Genomic DNA, 11005 nt, shown 5'->3' on the forward strand with positions numbered 1-11005 from the left:
TGATAATAAGCAAATATAATAAATGTTATTTTCAATATGCAATATTAAAGTCTAATTTGTAATCTACCATTGTAACTCTAAGTAGGAATTAGAGTAAAAATGAATTCTAATTTAAAAATTTTAATGAGTTTAATACCTTGTATATGTTGAATGTTAATAATTATAGTAATAACTTACACTAAAATGTATAATTTTATAATCAGGACTTTGCATTCATTGGATTAAATACAAAAACATAAAATATTCAACACTGAAAATATTATCGGAAAATTTGTATGACTTTGTTGAGTGAGTAGAAGAAATAATGGAAAAAACAAAAGCAACTTAGGAAAAGTAGACGTATTTAACTACCTAAGTCTAGTTATATTATCTCATGCTATTCTATTTAGGTATGGGAAACAATTCCCATAGAATGTTATGGAGCAAGTAATTGAAGAATAAATATTTAAAATCTATGTAATAGTTAAAGATCTAATGTCCCTAGTTGTTCAGAGAATGCCTCAAAGTACTAAGAAAAAGATAAATCCGGCCGGGCGCGGTGGCTCATGCCTGTAATCCCAGCACTTGGGGAGGCAGAGGCGGGCGGATCACCAGGTCAGGAGATCGAGACCATCCTGGCTAACACAGTGAAACCCCGTCTCTACTAAAAATACAAAAAATTAGCCGGGCGTGGTGGCGGGCGCCTGTAGTCCCAGCTACTTGGGAGGCTGAGGCAGGAGAATGGCCTGAACCCGGGAGGCAGAGCTTGCAGTGAGCAGAGATTGTGCCACTGCACTCCAGCCTAGGTGACAGAGCGAGACTCCGTCTCAAAAAAAAAGAAAAAGATAAATCCATTTCCCAGTTGGAAAAAGATTTCAGTAATCAATTTAAATTTGAGGAAAATCTATAGCCAAAAATACGTGTCAGGAATCTAACCAATTTTTAAATAATTTCTGTATCAATGAGACATATTTTATTTTATCTACCCATCATTTTGAATACCAATAGAAATACAACCTTCATTTTTGGTGGCAATTTGAGTAAATGAACACTCTTGTACACTGCTAATAGAAATAATTATTGCTATAGCTTTTATGGAATGTAAATTGCCTTTAACATTAAAAAAAGACCTATCACCTTATAATTTTTTCCATAAATCTTACTTTTATGAATCTTTCATAGAGAAGTAAAGAGAACATACATGAATACAGGTTAGATTGATTTATAGAGAGAAAAGAGAGAGAGAAATGGAGATACATATATGAATATATATATATATACAGAACTATAGCTATGTATCAAGAGATAAATGGCATACAGATGCATATTGCAGCATTAGTTTACTGAAACAATATTGGTAAACATTTTAATGTCTGTCAGTATTCATCATTAGAGTGGTATAAAAATCTTACATAATGTTATGAAGCTATTACAAAAAAAAGGTACTTCAATATTATATACTGTAAATTTTTTAACAAAGCAAGCAACCAACAAGTTAAGAATAATTTAAAGTATATGATTACATTTTGATAAAAATAGCAACATTCCTTAAATGTTTATGTGTGTGTGTGTGTGTATTAGTGGTAAGGAAAAAACATATCAGACTAATAACATTTGTTAAACGATAAGTGGGCAGTGTCATGCGCGTCGCTGTGAAGAGAGTCCACCAACAGGCTTTGTGTGAGCAACAAGGCTGTTTATTTCACCTGGGTGCAGGTGGGCTGAGTCCGAAAAAGGAGTCAGCAAAGGGTGATGGGATTATCATTAGTTCTCATAGGTTTAGGATGGGCGTACAAAGTACCTTCTTAAGGGCGGGGAAGAATATATCGTATCAGTTAGGGTGGGTCAGGAACAAATCACAGTGGTGGAATGTCATCAGTTAAGGCTATTTTCACTTCTTTTGTGGATCTTCAGTTGCTTCAGGACATCTGGATGTACACATGCTGGTCACAGGGGATATGATGGCTTAGTTTGGGCTCAGAGGCCTGACAGGCAAGGGGTTCAGGAGTGGGAATTCTAGACCAACTTCTTACTTTGCTTTGCTTGAAAGTTTACAGAGAATAGATTCCACCATTGTAGATTTTGGTAAGAAACATAATGTATGAAATGTGGAAAGAAAGATAAGTCAACATAATTGGAATAAAAATAAATTAGAAATAAATAAGAAAGTTTTCCCCCTCTGCCTCCCTCCCTCCCTCCATTTCCTCTCCTCTCCTCTCCCTTCCCCTCCTCTCCTCTCCTCTCCCTTCCCTTCCCCTCCCCTCCCCTCCCCTCCCCTCCTCTCCTCTCCTCTCCTTTCCTCTTTTCTTTCTTTTCTTTTCTTTCTCCGAGGCTGGAGTACACTGCAGTGGCATCATAGCTCACTGCAGCCTCAAACTCCTGGGCTCAAGCAATCTTCCCTCCTCAGCCTCCCAAATAGTTGAGACTGTGGTGCACGCCACTACACTTGCTAATTTTTAAATTTTTTATAGAGTCGGAGTCTAGCTTTGTTGCTGAAGCTGGTCTTGAACTCCTAGACTCAAGCAATCCTTCTGTCTCAGCCTCACAATATGGCAGGATTATAGGCATAAGCCACTGTGCCCAGCCTTAAGAAGTTTTTGAATAAATTGTTATTATTATTACAAACAAATTGTTTTGGGTCTCTAACTTTAAACCTCCTATTTTTATTTTTAAAATTTACTTTAGAAGTAATAGGAAGAAGTTTATAAATATGAAAAAGATAATTCCATCATAAATGGGTCATTTCCACTAAACATTTGTGTGAAAATTTAAGAAGATAGGCTGCTACTGTAAAATACGACAAAAATGTGTTTAAGTTACATTGTATTTTTCTTCTATCTATGCTAGAATACATTCATCCTTATATTAGCTCCCAAGTTGAACTTAAAATATCTGGATGAAGGATTAATAATGTAATCTTTGCTTAGTTCGATTCAAACAAATTAGGTAATAATGAAGTATTTGAATCCATTATCATTTTGAACTATGTGTTTTTCTCAATTAGGAGGAATTAAAATGAAATCTTGCAATTTGTTAAAGTTTTTAAAAATTTATGTCTAGATCTTATTGAGATTCTAGTTCTTTGGCATAAGAGATTTGTAAAGCACATGCAATCGTTCATTTCCAGTCACAATGCCAACTTAGATAGGCCTGAAGCTGGTTCAGTTCAGAAACCCACCTAGAGATATTGGGGCTTCCACCACCACTACCTCCTCCTGCTACCCACCACTAGGTGCTAAGATACTAAACAGACAGGGAAAAGGAAAGGGGAAATAAAAAATAACATAGATTCATACAATAAAAATTTATCCCAGTCATCCAGTCTGAATGACAGATGAAAGCAGAACTGATTTGCTATTCCCCTGAGCACCTTTCCCCAAAGTGCCAAATATCAATGTTTTTAAAGGTAATATGTTGACAGGATAGTTATTAAAACTATAAAAGAAGAGGAAGTACATAAAAGTAAGACCTGGAGGCTGTCAAAAGATTGTGCTATTCTTCCCAATCAACCAATTTTACAGTCCTGTTGAGACCTGGCCTTTGGCTCAGTTCCTTGCTGATGAGACCCAGCTTTCCTATATCCACACACCTCTTTTTTACCCAAACCCTATAAAAGAATCCCTGAGGCTCCAAGGAACTCAGTTTAAAACAAAATACAAAAATTGCTGTCTTAGTTCAATACACTCATTCAATAGATGAAAACATTTGAAGTTAAATAGGTGAAATATTTTACTGGAAGTTATGTGTCTTAGTCTATTCATAACAAACTGCCATAGACTGGGTGTCTTCGAAACCAGAAAAATTTATTTCTTGTGGTTCTGGAGCTGGAAAGTCCAAGAGCAAGGCACCAGATGAGGAAGCTGCCTTGAGTCCCTGATTCTTGGTTCATAGAGGACTGTCTCTCACTACGTCCTCACAGGGTAAAAGGGGTGAGGATTTGTCCGGGCTCTTTTATAAAGGCATGAATCCCTAATCACCTAATCAATTCTCAAAGGCCTTATTTTCAAATAACATCACATTGGGGATTAGGTTTCAGCATACGACATTTGCAAGCACACAAGCATTTAGTCTATAACATTATGTTTGGTAATGGGCAGAACTTAGCTTTGAACTCACGACCTCTGCATCTGGGTTTGGTTTTCTTTTCCAACATCAAGGTACATCGTAGGAACCTGTCCTAAGTCTTAGTTCATCCTTATTTAAATAAAGAAAAGAAAATATTTAAAATTACCAGAGATAAAGTTTTAAGTAACCCACACAAATTTCCACATTAAGGATTTTGTGTTTTATAAATTATACTGTTGACTCAAACAACACAGATTTGAACTGTACAGGTTCATTTATACATGAATTTTTAAGAGTAAATAAATATATTAGAACATGTTTTGAAGATTTGCAACAATTTGAAAAAAATAGCAGATGAGCCTAATAGCCTAGAAATATTTAAAAAATAAGAAAAAGTTAGGTATGTCATGAATGCATAAAATATATGTAAATACTAGTCTATTTTATCATTTACTACCATAAACTATGCAGAACTGTATTATAAGAAATTAAAAATTATCAAAATGTATGGACACAAACACAGACTCTGCATGGTGCCATTGGAAGTTAAGAGAAATGGAAACGATTGTAAAGATGCAATATATTAAATCATAACTGCATAAAATTAACTGTAGTACATCCTATACTACTGCAATAATTTTGTAGCCACCTCCTGTGGCTTTTACGGTGAGCCCAAGTGTTGCAAGTATTCCCTTAAAGCACCGTGTGATGCTAACCTTCCCTGCATGAGAGGTTTGTCTCTCCAGTAAATTACTCATCACTGTAAAAAGTGATCTCTCACAGTTCTCGTGTATTTTTCATCATGTTTAGTGAAATACCGTAAACCTTAAATAACACCATGGAACCCATATGAAGTGCCACTAGTAATGCTGGAAGGGCTCCCAACAAGCAGAGGAAAGTCATGACATTATAAGAAAAAGTTAAATTGCTAGATATATATCCTAGATTGAGGTCTGCAGGGCTGTTGTCCGCCACTTTAAGATTAATGAATCCAGCATAAGGACTATTGTAAAAAAAAGAAAAGGAAATTCATGAAGCCATCCTGCAGCTATGCCAGTAGGCATGAAAACTTGCACTTTTTGTGAAATACAAGATATGTGTGAATTGACTGTTCATGTTATCAGTAAAACTTCCAGTCAACAGCAGGCTATTAAGTTTGGGATAAGTCAAAATTTATGTGCAAATGTTTGACTGTTTCCAAGGGAAGAGTTGGTGTCCCAACTCCCATGTTCTTCACGGGTGAACTGTAGTTATACTGTCTGAAATGTGCTTCTAGAATGTTGATAATATTTTGTTTCTTGAACTGCATGTGTATAGCTTGTGACATTCTCTGAGCTGTAAACTTAGGATTTTTGCAGTTCTTTGGATCTATTTTGTACTTCAATTAAAAAGTTAAAACAATAGTGACTGTTCGTTAATACAGAAATTGCTGCAGTATGGACTCATGAGAAAACCACAAAACTTTAATTCATCTACCCTGTGAAATATTACTGAACTGTTCTATATCTAAAGATCTGCAACTCTGAAAGGAAAACTGGAATTATTTTGAATATTGCATGAAAGAATCCACATTAAGTACCTAGCATGGCGCCTGGCATAGCAGATTTTCAATATGGTGTAATTCTCCTTAATAAATATGTTGTAATTTTAATTCTGTTTCAAAGAAGCATTAAATAATAAAAGGAGTGTAGTCATTGTGGTTTAATTTTCAGGTCTAGCAAATATTAGTTTTCTTTAATTTTTGGAGTTTAGAGTAATCTATAATAGTAAATGTTTACCTGAAATATCCTTCTGTACTTAATATTCCTCAATTCATGGCCTTCTTATTAGATTGATAACTGATGACTGATTCACTGACTTATTCATTTATTTATTCATTACTTATACAGTATTTACTGAGTGTATTAATCAGTGTTCTCCAAAGATACAGAACAAATACAATATGTGTATGTGTGTGTGTTGGTGGCGGGGTAAGAAGAGAGAGAGAGGGGGAGACTGTAAGGCTTTAGTTCATAAGGCTGTGGGAGCTAGCAAGTCTGAAATCTTTATGGCAGGTTGGCAGGCTGGAGACCCTGGAAAGAATTCTTGGTGCACTTCAAGTCTAAAGGCAGTTTGGAGGCAGAATTCCTTCATCCTCAGAGGACCTCAGTCTTTTTCTCTCAAAGCCTTCAACTGATTGAATGAGGTTCACTCACTCTTATTATGGAGGGTAATCTTCTTTACTCAAAGTCTACTGATTTAAATGTTAATCACATTTTAAAAATATCTTCATGGCAACATCTGCTATTTGACCAAACATCTGGGCACCATAGCCTAGCAATGTTGACACATAACATTAACCATCACACTGAGTTTTAAATATAAGCATGGCTGGGAACTAAAAATCTGTTGAGCACATAACCTAGTGGTGGAAACTGAAAGGGAAGGAAAGGGGAAAAGAGGGACAGACACAAGGTCAACTAACTAGATTACAACAAGAAAAGCAAAATAACAGATCCTTGCCAAACGTCAAGGGAGCTGAGAGTAGGAAGTGAATAATTTTGCCTGAATAAAATAAGAGGTGCATTGATGCTCAAGATGCTTTCCTCTCATCCAGAAATTTGGCCCAGAGGAGCAATAGCTCTAGACAGAGAAATTTAAAGAGATGTGTGAAGCTCCACCTTGGGGCTCATGTGGAACTTGTTCTAGGCTTGGTTCCAAAATTTTTGCAAACTTAAGCTGGGATTCAATTTTACAGTGAAATTGAATATGCATTGGGATCTTTCTTAGTTTGAGGCGTAGTCTTTAAAAATCTCCATCCCCCAGAGAGATCTTATTTTATAAGCATCATACACAACTGTTTGATTAAATATGCAGAGTTTTTGAAAGCCTTTTATAAATTGCTTTACTCTGTGAGCTATCCAGTTTTTCTATCTGAAATGTTCATAGTAGAATCTTCAGCAAATCACAAAGTTTTTGGTTGCAGGATTTTGGCAGCCAAATTCACTCTGAGCACAAGGGGCTGTCTTTCTTCAGCACACTGCATTAGAGAAACAGTTATACACCCTAAGGGTTTTCAGAATTTCTTTGTTCATCAAAGAATTGAATCATATTCCTGAAAGTGGATCTATTTCTTTCAAGACCAAGTTTAAATGATCATTAACAAATCAAGCTAGACACTAATTAACTCTCCTAATGAAATTAATGCATTTTATATGTATTAATGTTTATATCACAAGAGACACACTGTCAATCTAGATTTCACAAAGGAATGTTACATACCTTCCAACTATTGAGTATTGGAAAAAATTTCTAGGATCTCTATCTCATCCTAAACTATTCTCCATCTGGCTGGCTGTGGTTTGGCACATTGGCTTCCTAATCTCCAAATCTCTTCAAGACTACGAAGGTCATATGAAAGCCTTTGTACTTTCTGCCCCATTGGACCTGGAATGTTATTTGTTTGTTTCTTCCATAACTTGCATCTCCACATTCTTCATGTATTAACCTTTGTTTTACCTGCTGAGAGAAACTGTCTTTGACCAGCCCATCCACTGCAGGCCTCTGACCACTCATTTCTCATCTATGGGCCACTGCTGTCATGCTCTTTGTAGCCATTGGGGTTCATATAATAATCTGAAGTTATATTGCTTATTTATTTATCTATTCATATAACACTTCTTTTTTCCACTAGGAAATTTGCTTCACTAAAATAAGGAAATTGCCTGGCCTTTTTTCTTTTTTTTAACAGCTGTATGCTTAACACAAAATATGTACAAATTTATGTTTGTTGATGAAATAGTGGAAACAAAACAATGTGGCCCTGATAGTCAAACAAAATGTTATTTAAAGTGAAGTTCATAAAAAGTGAGGTCAGGAATACAATTATAGCTTCTGTTTTATTTTAAGTGAGCTATCAATTATAAATATCAGTCTCCAAAGTGAATGTGAGATAAATGCCATACCCAAATTTAAAAGAGAAATAGTCCCTATCTTTGGATCCTTTGGCCATATTGATACAAAAAAAATGTGGGGTGCCCCCCAAAATTGTAGGGAAGGCAAGAAGACTGTGAAGAGATATACACATGTATATCTCTTCCCCCTTTTCCTGTGGATGTGGCTTCCTGTTAGCCAAGCTGCAGTGATTGTTATCTCTCTTCTGGGTCTAGCTACCAAGCAAGTCTACCTGGCTCTGAAGTGGTACTGGGGGTTGTCTGCACAGAGTCCTGCGATGTGAACTGTCTATGGGTCTCTCAGCTGTAGATACCAGCACCTGTTCCAGTGGAGGTGGCATGGCGGTGAAATGGACTCCATAATGGTTCTTAGCTTTGATGGTTTAATGCTCTATTTTTGTGCTGGTTGGCATCCTGCCGGCAGCTGGTGCTTTCCAGGGAGCATCAGATGTGGTAGTATGGGGAGGAACAGATGGTGGGTGGGGCCCTAGAACTCCCACGATTATATACCCTTTGTCTTCAGCTACTCCAGTGGATAGGGAAGGCCCACCAGGTGGGAGCAGGGCTAGGTGAGTCTGAGCTCAGACTCTTTGGGCGGGTCTTGCTGCAGCTGCTGTTGGGGATGGTGGTGAGGTTCCCAGGTCAATGGAGTTGTGTATCCAGGAGGATTATGGCAGCCTCTGCTGAGTCATGCAGGTTGTCAGGGAAGTGGGGGAAAACCAGCAGTCACAGGCCTCACCCAACTCCCACACAATCCAATGTGCCAGTCTCACTCCCACCGTACTCCCCCTAACAGCCCTGAGTCTGTTTCCAGGTGGTGGGTGAGCCACACTTGAGAACTTGCCCCAAGCTACCTGCCTCCCAGCTGCAAAAGACCAGGGCTTTGGTTCTTCCTTTGCCTATGGAGTCTGCACACCAGATTCACACTCTCCCTCAAGTTCCGGCCAGGAGGCTTCTCGCCTGGTTCAAATTGTTACAAAGTTCAGCTGGAGATTTCCTTCTCCCTGTGGTGTTTTTCCCTGGGCTCCTCTGGCCACTCTCCTGAAGGATCCCCATGGTGCCAGGCAGGAATGGCCTGCTTGGGGAGCCAGCGAGCTCCCAGGGCCTTTCCTGCTGCTTCTTCTACCCCTGTATTACACTTGGCTCTGTAGATTGACTCAGCTCCAGGTAAGGTCAGAAACTTCTCCCGCAAACAGACCTTCAGTTTCCCCAGTGGGGGTGTGTGTTTGGGAGGGGAGGATCTCCCTTTCCTGCTTCCACAATTGGGGCACTCACAGTATTTGGGGTGTCTCCCTGGTCCTGCAGGAGCAGTCCGCTTCCTTCCAAGGGTCTGTGGGTCCTCTTGGGATTCCTGGCTTGTTCTTGCAGTAGATCTGGAGCTAAAATTTTGATGCGAGCCTCCACACGCTGCTCTGTCCATCTGAGTCGGAGCTGCAGTCTGGTCCTGCCTTTTGGCCATGATCCACACAACTTTTTCTTATCTCGAAAAGTTTTAATTTTGAATGAAGATTAAAGCACTTCGGGAATAGGTGAATTGTATTTGCCACTAGGGAAATGTCTGTTGATTAAGAAGAAGCAGAGATTATGGGATCTGATTCAATTTGTATCCACAGGCAAAAGATTACCCCCAATGTATAAGTTTTAAGGCATCATTTAGATTCAGAAATACATTTGTGTATTTCTCTCATCTCAAGAATCAGGTATTTCAACATACCAGTTATAGGCAATTCTGTTATCCCAAGTATTCCTTTAGAATCTATGGCAGAATTTATCTCCCTTTCAATTAATTCTCCATTCAACAGCTATATATGTGTGTGTTTGTGTATATATATATATGTTTTATTTTTTGAGACAGAGTTTTGCTTTTGTTGCCCAGGCTGGAGTGCAATGGCACGATCTCGGCTCACCGCAACCTCCGCCTCCTGGGTTCAAGCAATTCTCCTGCCTCAGCCTCCCAAGTAGCTGGGATTACAGGCATGCACCACCAGGCCCAGCTACTTTTGTATTTTTAGTAGAGACCAGGTTTCTCCATGTTGGTCAGGCTGGTCTTGAACTCCCAGCCTCAGGTGATCTGCCCACTTCGGCCTCCCAAAGTGCTGGGATTACAGGCGTGAGCTACTGCGCTCAGTGCCACAGCTAGATTTTTAAAAACTCAAATTAGATTATGAGAATTCCCTGCTTAAAAATTTCTAATTGCCTTTTAGTGCTTTTATAATAAAATTTAATCTCCTTGACCATAGCATATAGGGTGTACATATTTTGGCTGCTTGCCCAATTCATTGACGGTATTTATTCTAACTCACCTCCCCCCACCCCCTACCTCAACCCCTAACTTCTGTTCTTCAATCACATTGCCTTTTTTAAAATTCTTAAAACATGTCGGGCTTATTTCTACCTGAGAATGCTGTTTCTCCAGCCTGAAACGTTCTGGTTCCAGACTTTCTGACTGTGTCCTCAGACACTCAGGTCTTAGCACGAATAATCCCTTCATAATGAGGCCTTTGATGACCTCGTAATTTAACCTAGTCACGTTATCCCTGACCTCCCTGGAGACTGCTCTACCATTCTTTATTTTATCAACTAGCTTTATTTTCTTCATATGATTTATTATTAAGTGAGATTATTTACTTATTTTTTTCCTGCTTTGGTCTGTGTCTTGCATTAGGCTATAAACTCCATGACAGTAGTGAATAAATTTGTTTTACTTAACAATAAATATCTTAGGACAAAGCATGTGCTCAATCAATTTTATTGAATGAAGAAGTAAAACAAAAGCATTTCTTTAAACATTAAATTATCACATAGTTGAATTTATTTTTTTTAGAAAACAACATTATTGTGATTTTCAGAAATGGACTACGTACATGAGATGTACTAGTTTGTTTGGTTTTGATGCCATGGTAGTTTAAAATGTAGTGTTTTTATTTGGGGGATTGTTCAATTTTTACTGCTTAGACAGTTCTTTTAGTCATACATAGGCTATGCTAGACATCTTGATAAAATATTTAAAAATTAAACATGAATTTTTT

At 38.0% G+C, this 11005-nt stretch overlaps 1 annotated feature.

Annotated features, from left to right (window-relative positions):
• Positions 8201 to 9400: an enhancer, noted in NCBI's record as "CDK7 strongly-dependent group 2 enhancer chr4:63226906-63228105 (GRCh37/hg19 assembly coordinates)". NCBI's record gives its function as "activates an origin of replication core promoter dependent on BRD2, BRD4, P300/CBP, MED14 and CDK7 cofactors, with strong dependence on CDK7, by STARR-seq in HCT116 cells {active_cell/tissue: HCT116}" and the evidence as "EXISTENCE:reporter gene assay evidence [ECO:0000049][PMID:35650434]".

Source organism: Homo sapiens, chromosome 4 (assembly GCF_000001405.40).
Source record: "Homo sapiens chromosome 4, GRCh38.p14 Primary Assembly".
In the NCBI taxonomy this organism is placed as follows: domain Eukaryota; kingdom Metazoa; phylum Chordata; class Mammalia; order Primates; family Hominidae; genus Homo; species Homo sapiens.